Here is a 15,199-nt window from a genome sequence, read left to right as displayed (position 1 = left end):
TGGGCCTGTCCTTTCACCCACAGCTCTGGGCTGACCCCCTATACCTGGGCCTGAACACTACCATACCCAGCTAATTTTTGTATTTTTAGTAGAGATGGGGTTTCACCATGTTGGCCAGGCTGGTCTCAAACTCCTGACCTCAAGTGACCCTCCTACCTCGGCCTCCCAAAGTGCTGGGATTACAGGTGTGAGCCACTGTGCCTGGCCACAAGACGCCATCTCTATAAAAAATTAAAAAATTAGCTGGGCGTGGTGGTGCACATCTATAATCCCAGCTACTCGGGAGGCCGAGGCAGGGGGATTGCCTGAGCCCATGAGGCCAAGGCTGCAGTGAGCTGTGATCATGCCACTGCACTCCAGCCTGGGCCACAGAGCAAGACCATGTATCAAAAAAACAAACAAAAAACAAAACAAAACTGCTTCCAAACATGGAAGCAACTGTTTTCATGCCTTTTGTGAAAGAATCCTTCCCTCCCTGGATTGGGGAGCCTCCTTTGTTAAATACTACACATGGCGTTATTTTATACATGTGGTCCGCCTCTGGGCTGCTGAGGCTTGTGAGGTGCCACGCTGTTTTGATTATCAGAGCTTCAGAGAATGTTCTCACTCGGCAGGGCTCAGTCTTTTGGGGTTTCCCAGGAGACCTGGGACCTGGAAATTAGTCTTACTGTGGCTTAAGATCCCTGCCCCAAGTGGATGTGAAACCTGCCCTTGGAAAATACCCTGGTTCTGGCGGGAATGGAAGGAAGCAGATTGGGGATGGAGGAACCAGGGACCTGAAGTCCCTGTGGGGGACAGCTCAGCCAAGTGGCGACCTCGGGTTATGGTTGTGTTTTGGGGTACGGGTCCTGAAAACGTGTTTCCTTCCTTAAACCGAATTGTCTCACCAAAATACCCCAAGGCTAACACACCCGCTCTACCACCTGACTCATGACCATCCCACGCACAGACAATGTGAACAGGAAGCAAAATACATCCTCCAGCTGACAGCATCAGTACGACCAAGGCCTTGTGTAAGAACAATCCCCTTGTCACCAAATGAAAATCAAACTGTCAGACTATAAAGATCCTCGAAGAAATGCCAAAAAGTGGTAACAAAGTGCCTGTCAACGGATAAATGGAAAAACACAACGTGGCCCATTCATCCAACAGAATATTATTTGGCCATAAAAAGGAATGAAGGCTGAGTGAGGCGGCTCACGCCTCTAATCTCAGCACTTTGCGAGGCCAAGGCCGGCAGACCGCTTGAGCTCATGAGTTCAAGACCAGCCTCGGGAACATGGCGAAACCTCGTCTCTACAGAAAAAAAACAACACAAAAATTAGCCAGGTGTGGTGGTGTGTGCCTGTAATCCCAGCTACTCAGGAGGCTGAGGTGGGAAGATGGCTTGGGCCTGGGAGGCAGAGGCTGCAGTGAACCAAGATTGTGCCACTGCACTCCAACTTGGCCAACAGGGCCAGACCTTATCTCAAAAAAAAAAAAAAAAAAAAAAAAAAAAAAAAAAAAAAAAAAAGGAAGGAAGCACCGATTCATGCTATAACGTGGATGAAACTAAAAAACATGATGCTGAGTGAGAGAAGTCAGACACGAAAGACCATATGGGGTGTGACTCCATTTATAGAAATGTCCAGAATGCCAGAACAGACAAATCCACAGACACAGAAAGTGATGAGTCGTTGTCAGGAGCTAGGGGATGAGGAGTGGGGAGTGATGGCTAATGGGGACGGGGTTTCCTTTTGGGGAATGAAAGTGTTCTGGAATCAGATAGAGCTGGTGTTGGCACAACACTGTGAATGCACTGAATGTTACTCATGATAAATTACACGTTATGTGCATTTCACTACAATAAAAATGATCACTCCTTTTAAAAAAACGGAGCGGTGCAAAAAGAAATGGCTATGTAAAACCAGGCCAGTATATGCTTTCTGCACTCTGAAAAAATGCCAATCTCAATTCAGGGCCTTTTCCTTGTGTTCTCATAGAAAGGAGGTGCAAGGAAAGGCATGACAACGAAAAAAAACAGGCCCTGGGGGTGGGGGTCAGTGGCCGGATGTGAATTAGCCGCTCTCAAGGCCGGCTGCACAGAAAGTAGGGTTCTGCCTACCAGTTTGGCGGAGGATTCGGAATTTACTGGAGAATAAAGGCCTCCGGACGGGGCCTCCAGAAAGTGTGGCGTAGCCGTTTCGTTTATATAAGGCCATAATTTGAAGCCACATGTTTATAGGATGAAATCATTCTCAAGCTAAGGGAAGGCTAACTAGCATTACAGCAGACTCATTTAGGATGCATCGTGCAGCATTCAGTGCATTTCACATTTTGTGTACATTTCCCTGATCCTGTTGAGGATTTTTTTTTTTTTTAGAAGAAACGCTCATGGGCAGTATGGGAAAGATGGACACACACACACGAAGGAATGACCACAAAGTCAGCCTATTGGTCAGGGTGGCTCAGAGTGGGAGGACGACTTAGAGACCTTTGTCCTCATTTTTCTACACCTGCAACCTAACCATAAGATGGCCACGCTCACGTGCCAGTCGGGAGGAAGAGGACACTCAAGAGAAGAAATTGTTAAGAAAACTCCAAGAGATGGCCCACTGCAGGTGACAGGAGGGAGGAACTAAGCTCTTTTGGGGCATTTCAGAAAGTGGGGATATGGCCAGGCGTGGTGGCTTATTCCTGTAATCCTAGCACTTTGGGAGGCTACTTGAGCCTAGGAGTTTGAGACCAGCCTGGGCAACAAAGAAAGACCCCCCAATTCTACAAAAAATAAAAAATGAGCCGGGCATAGTGGCATGCACCTGTGGTCCCAGGTACTCAGGAGGCTGAGGTGGGAGAATCACTTAAGCCTGGGAGGTCGAGGCTGCAGTGAGCCGTGATGGCGCCACTGCACTCCAGCCTGGGCAACAGAGACAGATCCTGTTTCTCTCTCTCTCACACACACACAAATAAGTAAATAAACAAAGTAAGTGGGGCTGCTTCCAAGAATCCACTGCAGAGGTCAATGGGCTCATACCACGGTCTGGTACAGGACATCACAGGAATTGGTGGGCATCATTGGTGGCCCAGGCCCTGCTAAGGGGCCAGGTCCTAGGGGTGGGACAGAGCAGGGATGGGAAACTCCTCGGGGAGCAGCTGGGGGAGCCAGCAGGGCCAAGAAACAGCGTCCGCAGGGCAAAATTACAAAGAGAGGCATTTCCAGTGGGGAGTTCATTCGTGCTCCCCAAAACTCATGCTTACCGCGAACCTCAGAATGTGACCTTGTTTGGAAATAAGGCCTTTGGGGATGTAGTCAGTTAAGATCAGGTTGTACTGGACAAGGGTGGGCCCCAAATCCAAAGACTGGCGTCCTTATAAAAGGAAAAGAGACATGTGCACACAGAGAGAAGGCGGCACGTGAATAAAGATGGAGGTGGGGATTGGAGTGATGTGGCCACAGGCCATGGAACACCTGGAGCCCCAGAAGCTAGAACAGGCAGGAAGGGTCCTCCCGTAGAGCCTCCAGAGGGAGTGTGGTCCTGCTGACACCTTTTTTGAGATGGACTCTTGCTCTGTTGCCCAGGCTGGAGTGCGGTGGTGCGATCTCGGCTCACTGCAACCTCCACCTCCTGGGTTCAAGCTATTCTCCCGCCTCAGCCTCCCGAGTAGCTGGGATGACAGGCACCCACCACCACGCCTGGCTAATTTTCGTTTTTTTTTTTTTTGAGACGGAGTTTTGCTCTTGTTGCCCACGGTGGAGTGCAATGGCGCGATCTCGGCTCACTGCAACCTCCGCCTCCCAGGTACAAGTGATTCTCCTGTCTCCGCCTCCCAAGTAGCTCAGATTACAGGCATGCACCACCACACCTGGCTAATTTTTTTGTATTTACTAGAGACAGGGTTTCACCACATTAGTCAGGCTGGTCGTGAACTCTTGACTTCAGGTGATCCACCCGCCTCGGCCTCCCAAAGTATTGTGATTACAGGTGTGAGGCACCGTGCCTGGCCAACACCTTCATTTCAGACTTGTGGCCTCCTCAGCCACCCAGGATAGGTACTTAGTTATGGAAGCCCCAGGACATGAATCCAGTTGCCCAGTGCAGAACACCTTGAGTGGAACACTCAGGCCAGAAGGTAGCTGGGTGAGCCCTTCGGTTGCTCCAGCCTTTTTTCTGCCTTAGCCGAATATTCCCAAGAAGCTCATCCCAAATGCTCTCTCGTGACTTCTGCCAATTCCACGCTCACCCATGGGGAGTTGAATGTGTTCTTCTGAACGTGTTCAGTTTGTCCCTTGTCTTCCCCAAGACATTCCCCCAGACCTTCCATCTGGCCTGACTGTTCTAAACCCCACGCCCTGGAGAAAGTCCCTTCCCAGGTATGTGTTCTTTCAGCGCATTCTGGCCACCCGCCTCCCCGTGGCCCAAGTGCTCTCCGACCTGTGCTATACGCCCACCCCTCCAGGCCCTGGGGTCTCCCTCCCTGTGATCTGTGCTGATGTTTCAGAGGAGGCTGCCTTCTTTCAACATATGGTTAACAAATGTTCCTTCAGTGCTCACCCCGGGCCAGGCTGATGCTGGGCACAGGAGAGAGAATGGGGAGGTGAAGGAGACGGATAACACACTCACCACAAAGCAAGGAGGTATTAGCAACAGTGATAAGTGCTTTGGGGAGGAAAAATCCAGCATAACTGTGCTAACACTGCAGTTCTCAGCCAGCAGTGAGTCTGTCCCTGCTGGGACAGACATCTGACAATGTCTGGAGACTTTTTTTTTTTTTGAGACGAAGTCTTGCTCTGTTTTCCAGGCTGAAGTGCAGTAGCGCTATCTCAGCTCGCTGTTACCTCTGCCTCCCAGGTTCAAGTGATTCTCGTGCCTCAGCCTCCCGAGTAGCTGGGACAACAGGCGTGTGCCACCACACCCAGCTAATTTTTGTATTTTTAGTAGAGACAGGGTTTCTCCATGTTGGCCAGGCTGGTCTTGAACTCCTGGCCTCAAGCGATCTGCCCGCCTCAGCTTCCCAAAGTGTTAGAATTACAGGCGTGAGCCATTGCACCTGGCCATGGAGACATTTTGGAAGTTACCACTTGTGGCGAGGGGATACTGCAAATGGTAGGTGGAGGCCAGGAATGCCACTCAGTGTCCCACAGTGCACAGCACGGCCCCCACAGCAAAAAATAATTGGCCCCAATACGAGCCGGGCCAAGGTGGGGAAGCTGGGGATAGGAACCTGTGGGGCGGCGCTCAGGGCAAATGGTTGCTGAGGCCTGTACAGTGCAAACGAGCTGGACGTGCCCAGAGCTTGAGGACAGCAGCCCAGGCGAGGGCGGGGAATGGGCAGGCGGGGCCAGAGTGGGTCTGAGAACAAGGAGCCCAGTGTGGCCGGTGGGTCCAAGGCTGGAGGCCGGGAGAGAGAAGCTGAGATGGGGAAGGTCAGATCTTCCAGGGCCCTGCAAATGTGGTTAGATTTTCATGCAAGTCCGACAGGGGAGCCCCGTGTGGTTTGATGCAGGGGCACCAGGACCAGAGGGACATTAAGAAAATGTCACCATCTGTGGCAGATGGACTCTGGGGGGCCTTGGTGGAAGCACGTCCTGTGGGTGCCTTGGCGGGAGCTGACAGTGGCCTGGGTCAGGCCCATGAGACACAGGTGGGTTCTGGTCACAGGTAGAAGGCAGAGCCACTGGGTGGTGGCTGGGCTGCAGGTCCTTCTCGGGTGACCTGTGGGCTTGTAACGAAGATAGGGAGGGCAGCCAGGGACGCGGGTCTGGAAGGGCAGAGGAAAAACCCTTGTATCCTGCTGTGCAATCACACAGCTCATCTGTCGTCACGCCCGGAGGAAAGCCATCCCCAGGGTAAGAACAGGGGTCTCCCTATGTTGCCCAGGCCGGTCTCGAACTCCTGGGTTCAAGTAATCCTCCCACCTCAGCTTCTGGAGTAGCTGGGACTACAGGTGCAAGTCCACATTCGGTAAATTTTTCAATTTTTTTTTTTTTTTATTAAAGACGGGATCTCCCTATGTTGCCCAGGCCAGTCTCAAACTTCTGGGCTCAAGTGATTCTCCTGCCTCAGCCTCCCAAAGAGCTGGAATTACAGGCATGAGCCACTGCCCCTGGCTAGAACATTTACATCACCTTAAAAAGAAACCCTGTACCTTTTAGCTATCACCTATCCCACTGATTCCCCCAAAGACCCCCCAAGTTTATTCCCATTCTCCACATCTGCTGAGCTGCCTAGGTGGCTCGCTACCTGGCCCCCCATCTGCCCCATGCTTCTAGTTTCCACGTGGAGTGCTCTCTGCCTGCCAGGATCTCCCAATGCTGCCCATCTGTGACCCAGCCCTTGCGGCCTTCAGACAGATGCTCCTCCTCCTGGCCATGAAACCCACCCTCTGCCTGGTTTCTACAAAGGACACAGGGAGCTCGTTCCATTTTCTGATCACCTGAGAGCGGAACTGGATGGTGGGGGACAATGGTCTCAGGATTTGCTGCCACCAGTGTCTTCGGTGAAACAGCCACTCCCCAGCTCCCCTTGAAGCTCATCCCTGTGCCAGGGACCCTGGTGATCACACCACAAAGGCAGGGGAGAAAGAAGTCACCTCAGGCCAGTCACGGGCTTGACCTGTAGGTCTCAACAGGCTCTGCTTGCCCCTCAAAAGCTTGGTGTTCTTCTATATCATTGTTTCTCCCCTGGAGCTGACTCTGTCCTCAGGGACACTTGGCAACCTCTGTCCCGAGACATGTTTTTTTCCCTTTGAGACAGAGTCTTGCTCTGTTGCCCAGGCTGGAGTGCAGTGGCATGATCTTGGCTCACTGCAACCTCCACCTCCCGGGTTCAAGCGATTGTTTTGCCTCAGCCTCCCAAGTAGCTGGGATTACAGGTGCACCACACCATACCTGGCTAATTTTGTGTGTGTGTGTGTTTTTCTTTTTTTCTTTTTTTTTTTTTTTGTATTTTTAGTAGACACAAGATTTCACCATGTTGGCCAGGCTGGTCTCAAACTCCTAGCTTCAAGTGATCTGCCTGCCTCAGCCTCCCAAAGTGTTGGGATTACAGATGTGAGCCACTGCGCCTGGCCCAGAGACATATTAAGGGTTGTTGGGACAGGGAGGATGCTACCAACATGAAGAAGGTTGAGGCTGGAAATGCTGGTCCACACCCCGTGGTGCTCAGGGTCCCACCACAGAGAGGGACCCAGCCACAAATATCAGCAGTGCTGAGGGTGAGAGACCCTACATTAATTATTTGGAAAAAAATTGATTCTTTCCTCACACTAAATACCAGAATACACAGAATACATTCCCAATAATTTTTTTTTTTTTTGAGATGAGTCTCACTCTGTCACCCAGGCTGGAGTGCAGTGGCACCATCTTGGCTCACTGCAGCCTCAACCTCCCAGGCTCAAGTGATCCTCCGGCCTCAGCCTCCTGAGTAGCTGGGACCACAGGCATGTGTCAACATACCTGGCTAATTTTTGTATCTTTTTTGTAGAGACGGGGATTCACTATGTTGCCAAGGCTGGTCTGGAAGTCCTGGGCCCAAGGGATCCTCCCACCTCCGCCTCCCAAAGTGCTGGGATTACAGGCATGTAATCACTTGGCCCCCAAAGGGTTATTAACCCAAAGGGTTATTAACCAGGAGAATCCACCTAGCCTCTCTGATTTCTCTCCTCTCTCCTTCCCCATTCACTTTGTGTATTTAAATGTGCGGGCTGGGCATGGTGGCTCACATCTGCAATCCCAGCACCTTGGGAGGCTGAGGTGGGTGGATCACCTGAGGTCACGAATTCAAGACCAGCCTGGCCAACATGGTGAAATTCCATCTCTACTAAAAATATAAAAATTAGCTGGGCGTGGTAGCGGGTGCCTGTAACCCCACCTACTTGGGAGGCTGAGGCAGGAGAATCGGTAACTTGAAGCTGGGAGGTGGAGGCTGCAGTGAGCCGAGGCCGTGCCATTGCACTCCAGCCTGGGCAACAAGAACGAAACTCAGTCTCAAAAAAAAAAAAAAAAAAGAGGGCAGCATCCTAGGACTTCGGTCAGTCAGATGATGACAGACGCAAAGTCACTTAGGAGTCAACAGAACCCGGAACTAGTGTTTCTCACCCAGAGCTGACTCTGCCCTCCAGGAGACACTTGGCCATGTCTGGAGACATTTCTGGTTATCCAGACACAGAGCAGGGGGTGCTACTGGCATCTGAAGGGTGGAGGCCGGGGATGCTGTTCAACACCCTACAGTGCAGACGGCAGCTGCTACCCAAGAGAATGATCTGCCCCCAATGTCACCAATGCTGCAGCTGAGAAGATATGCTTTAAATCAATCAGAAAAGTGGCTGGGCGTGGTGGCTCACGCCTGTAATCCCAGCACTTTGGGAGGCTGAGGCGGGTGATCACTTGAGCCCAGGAGTTCAAGACCAGGCAACATGGTGAAACCCTGTCTCTATAAACAATACAAAAATTAGCCTGGCGTGGTGGTGACAGCCTGTAGTCCCAAGCTACTAGGGAGAATGAGGTAGGACGATCACTTGAGCCCAGGGAGGTTGTCAAGCCTGCAGTGAGCCAAGATCATGCCTCTGCACTTTATCCTAGGTGACAGAGTGAGACCCTGTCTCAAAAAAAAAAAAAAAAAAAAAAGCAAGATTCACACACTTTCAGCCTCCTCGAGGACCCACGGGCACTTGACATGTTAGCATGGTTCCAACCCCACGCTCACTTGGCTGCAGGATATTGAGAGTGCGGAGTGCAAGAGGGAGCCAGCCTTGAGGACGTACCTGCCCCGGTTCAGGCCACTTTCTGCACTCCAGGACACCCCAACCCTTACCTTCTCCCTTCCCTGCTAAATCATGGGCCTGACTCCCGAGGGACCACCCAGGGGAAAGGAACCAGTTTCCACGGCACCTATGGGCCAAATAAGTACGATCACACTTTCTCCGCCTCTCTTGTTCTTGTGCCTACCCAATAAACAGCATCTCCACGTGACAAGACAAGGACCCCAGGGGTCTTCCCAAGCAGTGGGCAAGCTACCCCTTGCCCCCCATGGCACATTCACCAGGAAATTAAAGCCCCACGTGAGTACCCATACCCTGGGAATCAAAATCTCAAATGTCACCCTCCTGCCCCCGATCTCGTCTGCCCTGGAATGGGATGCAGGAGGTGGCAGACGCCTCCTCGTGGAGATGCTCTGAGCAGTGAGCCCAGGAAGATCCACAGCAAAGCCTTGAGCCTCCCACTGCTGCTGTGCTGCTGTGACTTCACTCGTGAGGAAGCAGCGGTGCCCACCTCGCAGGCAGAAGACCCAGGGCACGGCTGACTGGGGAAGCTCTCAGGTCTCCCACTTCCCCCATAAGCGAGTCCCCAGGCCAGGCAGGCTCCCGTCACAGGCTCGCCTGCTGCCGGCACCTTCACAGACCCCACTGGGCTGTTAATTTGACTTCCATGCTCGTGACTCCTGGCTGAACATCTGAACAGAGGCGAGGGCTATTTCTGTTCTCCTCAGTCTCCCCAAGGGCCAGCTCTGAGCCTGGCTCCCAGCCAATACTTCCTTTTTGCTGAAGGATTTTAAGACCTTCCAGAAACTTCTTTTGTTCAATCACTTGTGACAGCAGTTGGTCCTAAGGTCACTTGGGTCCAAGAGTGTAGTTACTTTTGGATATTCCTTGCCCCTGACCCTGGCAATACTGAGAACAGAGATATACCCCCGCCCCATGCCCTGTTTGTAAACTTCATCCTGCTTCCCCACCAGGCACACGCAGCCTTGTGGACCTGGCCCTCAACACATCCCCTGTAAAATCCCATGGGACCCACTCCGCCCTGGGCTGGGTCCTCGCCTCTTTTTTTTTTTTTTTTTTTTGAGATGGGATCTTACTCTCTTGCCCAGGCTGGAGTGCAGTGGCACAAGATCACGGCTCACTGCAACCTCTGCCTCCTGGGTTCAAGCAATTCTTCTGCCTCAGCCACCCAAGCAGCTGGGATTACAGGTGTGTGCCACTACACCCAGCTAATTTTTGTATTTTTAGTAGAGACTGGGTTTCATCATGTTGGCCAGGCTGGTCTCAAACTCCTGACCTTAGGTGATCCTCCCACCTCGGCCTCCCAAAGTGCTGGGATTACAGGCGTAAGCCACTGCACCAGGCCTCTCACCTCTCTTTAGTCACCCCTGAATGTATGAGTGTGAGATCTGGAAAACAGGGAGCGTCCAAAATTGATGTGGCCAACCAACCTGCTCACCCTTAAAGTGTTTATTTAAAGGAGTGAGAAGAGACAAAATGGACCTATTCTCTATTGACACGATCATTTCCCTCCAGGTTCCTATATTATCTAAAAATGTAAGTTGAGGCCGGGCACGGTGGCTCACATCTGTTATCCCAGCACTTTGGGAGTCCGAGCGGGCTGATCACCTGATGTCAGGAGTTTAAGACCAGCCTGGTCAACACAATGAAAGCCCATCTCTACTAAAAATACAAAAAGTAGCTGGGCGTGGTGGCGCACGCCTGTAGTCCCAGCTACTCGGGAGGCTGAGGCAGGAGAATCACTTGAACCTGGGAGACAGAGGTTGCAGTGAGCTGAGATCGCGTCACTGCACCCCAGCCTGGGTGACAGAGTGAGACTCTGCCCCCGCCCCCAAAATAAATAAACAAATAAATAAAAATGTAATTTGAATTTGTCCTTTTCTCAGTATTATGGGCTGAGCTGTGTCCACCACTCCCCTCCACAAAGAAATATTCACATATTGAAATCCTAAACCTCAGAACTTCAGAGTATGAGTATATTTGGGATTTTTTTTTTTTTTAAGAGATGGGGGTGTCGTTCTGTCACCCAGGCTGGAATGCAGTGCCATGATCATAGCTCACTGTAGCCTCAAACTCCCAGGCTCAAGCGATCTGTCTGTCTCAGCTTCTTAAAGTGCTGGGACCACAGGCATTCACCATCATGTCTAGCTAATTTTAGTATTTTTTTGTAGAGATGGGATCTTGCTATGTTGTCCAGGCTGGTCTTAAACTCCTGGCCTCAAGTGATCCTCCTGCCTCAGCCTCCCAAAGGGCTGAGATTACAGGCGTGTGCCACCAAGCCTCGCCTAGAGACAGGGTCTTTATGGGGATGATTCAGTTAAAATGATGTCATTAGGGTGGGCCCCCTTCCATATGACTGCTGTCCTCATAAGAGGAAATTTGGACACAGAGACAGGCACAGAGGGAGGACGATGTGAAGACCCAGGGGAAGACGGCTATGTATGAGCCAACAGAGAGAGGCGTGGAACAGATTCTCACAGCCCTCCGAAGGCACGAACCCTGCCAACACCTTGATCTTGAATGTGATCTTAAACGTCTGGCCTCTAGAACTGCAAGCCAATATACTTCTGTCGTTCTGGCCACCCAGCGTGCGGTTCTGTTACAGCAGCCCTAGCAAACTCAGGCACCCAGCAACAACAGTCATGAAACACCCCTAGCGGGGCTCCTTCTCTTGCACATACAGCCCTGTGCAGCAGGGCAGAGATGGGTTTTAAACAAGTGAGTCAGACAAGGATATCTTATTCATCACTCCGACGAACCCATGGGCTGAACCCTTGAATCACTACTTTATTTATCATCGGGCTCGGGCTCAGAAAGTCTCGCTGAGGAAATGAGTAGAACCCAAACTCGTCAGCTGCATTTCTGAAACATGCCTAATCTCTGAGGCTCTTTCCCAGCCACGATAGAAATTGAAAGGGAACGGGGCTCTGGGCTGCGGCGGTGGGCTGGTGTGGAGACAGAGCCCTTTGTTCTGCCACTCCAGGGACCACGAGGGCAGAAGAGAAGGGCTTGTCTTGCTTTGCCGAGAGGCCGCCTGGGGCCGTCTGAATGGCCGGCCGAGCAGGGGCAGCCTGGCACAGCTGGGCTGGGGATGCCGGGCACACAAAGGGCTGGTGGGTGGGGTGTGGGGGCAGCACCCAGAAGGGACCGTCAGTCCCGTGGCCCCAGAGCGTCTCCTCCAATCAAGGTAAAGCAGCAAAGTCACGGTCAAGGAGGGGGCCAAGCAGGGAAGGGGACAGCAAGATGGACCAAGAACAAAAATTCAGCAGTATGTGCTTGGGAACGGGCGGGCGAAAGGGCCCATGGAAGAGATAATGCAGCTTACAAAAGCGACGTTTATCCGGGGCAACCTCCAAAGTAGCTCTTGGGAGAGAATCTAATACCTCTAATCTCAGAAGAAAAGCAACAGATCATTCTAAGACGAGGACAGTTCCTCCAGAAATCCAGGTCAGTCACAAGACAAAGAAAAGACAAGGGCACCCGCTGTCCACCCTCGGGCACGTTGCCTACCCTCCCACAGTCCGTTCCTAACGGTTCCTCCTTTTTATCAAGACCCGCTCCCTCCTGATTAAGAACTGACTGGATGGCAGGATTCAGTTCCTGGTCTCTGCCCCTGTTCCCACTCTTAGTGGCAGTTCCTCAGGGGCTCCACAAACACCAAGGACCCACCAAGGCAATGATGGGCCCTAGAGGGGAACCAGGTTTTACTAATGAGCATCACATTTCACCTGGCGGGGGAGGTGATTCTGCCCCCAGGGGACACGTGGCCATGGCTGGAGTCATTTTCAGTTGTTACCCCTTGGAGGGGATGGAATACTACTGGCATCTCATGGGTGACAGCCAGGGACACTATTCCACATTCTACAGTGCACAGCCCCAACTGTCAATGGTGATGCGGGTGAGAAACGGCCCTGGAGATTTGGGTTTCCCCAGTTAAAGGTTACTAAGGATCCTGCATGTTTCTAGAAAGCTCAAGGAACCATCTCTGAAGTCATCACCTGCCTGGGCCTGTTTCTGTATCAGGAAGATAAGAACAAGGACCCTCGCACTGCCGGTTGGCAGAATGAGAGAGCTGGGATGCCCTGTACAGGCCGGGCTTCAAAGGTATCTGCTTGTGCAATCCCTTCCACCCGGAGTGGTTTAACACGTGGTATCTTTCCAGGTTTGACCTGGGGCCAGCCACTACTTCCGAGGAAACTTGCTGGAATCCCCCTTGTCCTAAAGCTTGCATTGGTTGTCCCTAATTCTCCCCCCATAATATCTTGTGGCCCCTCTGTCACCGTACTGATGACCTGATCTGAATTCCATTCTTTTTTTTAATTATTATTATTTTTGAGGGCATCTTGCTCTGTCACCCAGACTGGAGTGCAATGGCGCAATCTTGGCTGGCTGCAAACTCCGCCTCCTGGGTTCAAGCAATTCTCCTGTCTCAGCCTCCAGAGTAGCTGGGACTACAGGCGCACATCACCACGCCGGGCTAATTTTTGTATTTTTAGTGGAGACAGGGTTTCTCCATATTGGTCAGGCTGGTCTTGAACTCCTGACCTTGTGATCCACCCACCTTGGCCTCCCAAAGGGATTACAGGCCTGAGCCACCGCGGCCCAGCTTGAACTCCATTCTTTCTGAAGAGGAAGTGCAAAGTTGTCGGGGGCGGGCATTAGCGTGTCCGTCCTCTGGGTCATAAGGATTCACCTCTGTCCCCAGGAATCTACCAAGTGTCTGGCACAATCAACCCTTGCCTAACTGAAATCTAGGCCCACCCAAGACACACCATTTGGAAGAGATGAGGAATGGGAAGCAGCAAGTTAACAAGTCCATGTGGGGAGAGAATAACGAATCCTACAGCCAAACAGAAAGGGGAGATTCCCACGTCTCTACCTGCTCCACTGAGTCACCAGACTGGACCCGAGGGACGGTACTGCCTCGGGATTTCCAGAAATTTGCAGTTTCCAAAGCTTTGGGAATAGGTGCAATGTGCAAAAGCACCTTCAACACCGCAATTTTCTATTTGGACGATGAAGAAGCGGTTGAAAAAAAATCATTTTTGGATACAAACTGTCGAATGGAAAACGGAATAAAAGTAGGATCATCGCAGCCAGGAATGGAGAGTGGGGGTGCTGTGAGGAGTTCAAGGCCGGGAGCTGGGGGACATGGACTGGAGACAAGACGGTGATGAGAAGAGTTGGGTTTCAAGGTTGAAAAACGCTGATGGAGGTCAATTCATTCATTTTGCAGGTGAGAGGTCAGAAACAGGCACAGAGACTTGACCAAAGCCAGGATCTCCAACACAGTGCTCCCCCCACAAGACCCTGCTTGGCCATTCTCTAGCGGCAGGGAAGAGGCGATTGCAGGGCTGCGGGATCAGAAGATCCCGGTCCTGTTCTGTAGGCCAGTGCAAGCCTACAGTTCAATGTTTGCAGGAGGCATGACTGTGGGCTGTCACTGCATGTCCTGGGGCAAGCCAGGCCAAAGCCACCTTTCCTAAAGGCCAGGATATTCTGGAAGTGAAGGGGGTGCTTATCTTTCTGTGGCCCTCTTTATATTCCAGCTATCCGGGTTCATCTCCTGAATGAGCTATAAACTAAACATAAGCTGGGGTTCCCCAGCCCTTCTGGCAGATCCCAGATAAAGATCCCTACAGTTGGGAAAGGGGAGAAATGAATGCCAATCAAAAGCACCCTGCACAAAGTCCCTGCCAGGGCCACAAGAGCCAGGCCTGTCAGATGTGAATAACTTTCCTGTAGCCCAGGTCACCTCCGGCTGCTCCTGGACACCTTAAGATTCTGAAGACTCCAACATCAAAAAACAAACCGAGTTGGGACTCTCTGGCTGGAAAGTGTCCCCACGGGCTCCCACCTCAGACAAAGAGGCAGAGAAGCCATCCCTTAAAGACCCCTGGCCTCCAGGGTGCCCAGGAAAGAAAGGAGGGCTCGTGGCTGTCGTGCCTCTCCAGGGCTGAGCTCAGAGCAACCGGGGGACAGATTTCCTGTATGTCGTTTTACCCATTTAAGTCCAAGGATGCAGCTCTGCGGAGGTGGCGACAGTCCTGTACATGAGGGTGCATGCACACTCCCTCCTGAAACACAGTTCCGGCCCCACAACCGGCCCTGAGGTCCCTTCCTTGGATCCAGGGAATCCCAGAATCCTGCTAGTCCTGTCTTAAGGGGAGGGTGGTGAAGTTTCCAAGACGAGGACACTGGCACAGAGGGTGTTGGGACTCGTCCCAGGTCACCCAGCTGTTAAGTGTGAAGTCAGGAGGGACACGAATCAAGAGGGGAGGGTGGGGGGACGGAATCTCCAGGGGCTGCATCTCAACATCTATCTGCACGGGGCCACTCTAACCCCTTCCTTCTCTTCCCTCCTCTCCGGGCCCTCCCTCCCTAAGCCTACCCTCAGTTCTTACCGTGACTTCTACTCCGTTTACTTCCCTTCCAGCTC

At 52.0% G+C, this 15,199-nt stretch overlaps 1 protein-coding gene across 2 annotated transcripts in view, besides 3 other annotated features; it reads right to left on the bottom strand.

Moving 5' to 3' along the window:
• MYO9B (myosin IXB) overlaps positions 1-15,199 on the bottom strand; it is a 137,510-nt gene that overhangs the window by 121,655 nt on the left and 656 nt on the right. The gene's annotated exons all lie outside the window — the stretch shown is intronic.
• Positions 9,250-9,799: an enhancer, noted in NCBI's record as "H3K27ac-H3K4me1 hESC enhancer chr19:17192643-17193192 (GRCh37/hg19 assembly coordinates)". NCBI's record gives its function as "activates a minimal SCP1, AML or CMV promoter by ChIP-STARR-seq in naive H9 embryonic stem cells {active_cell/tissue: H9 hESC(naive)}" and the evidence as "EXISTENCE:reporter gene assay evidence [ECO:0000049][PMID:30033119]".
• Positions 11,336-11,873: an enhancer, noted in NCBI's record as "H3K27ac-H3K4me1 hESC enhancer chr19:17190569-17191106 (GRCh37/hg19 assembly coordinates)". NCBI's record gives its function as "activates a minimal SCP1, AML or CMV promoter by ChIP-STARR-seq in primed H9 embryonic stem cells {active_cell/tissue: H9 hESC(primed)}" and the evidence as "EXISTENCE:reporter gene assay evidence [ECO:0000049][PMID:30033119]".
• Positions 11,886-11,985: a silencer, noted in NCBI's record as "silent region_10320". NCBI's record gives its function as "represses an Ori minimal core promoter by ATAC-STARR-seq in GM12878 lymphoblastoid cells {active_cell/tissue: GM12878}" and the evidence as "EXISTENCE:reporter gene assay evidence [ECO:0000049][PMID:35858748]".

Source organism: Homo sapiens, chromosome 19 (genome assembly GCF_000001405.40).
Source record: "Homo sapiens chromosome 19, GRCh38.p14 Primary Assembly".
In the NCBI taxonomy this organism is placed as follows: Eukaryota; Metazoa; Chordata; class Mammalia; order Primates; family Hominidae; genus Homo; species Homo sapiens.
This window is presented reverse-complemented; position numbering and strand designations above follow the sequence as displayed.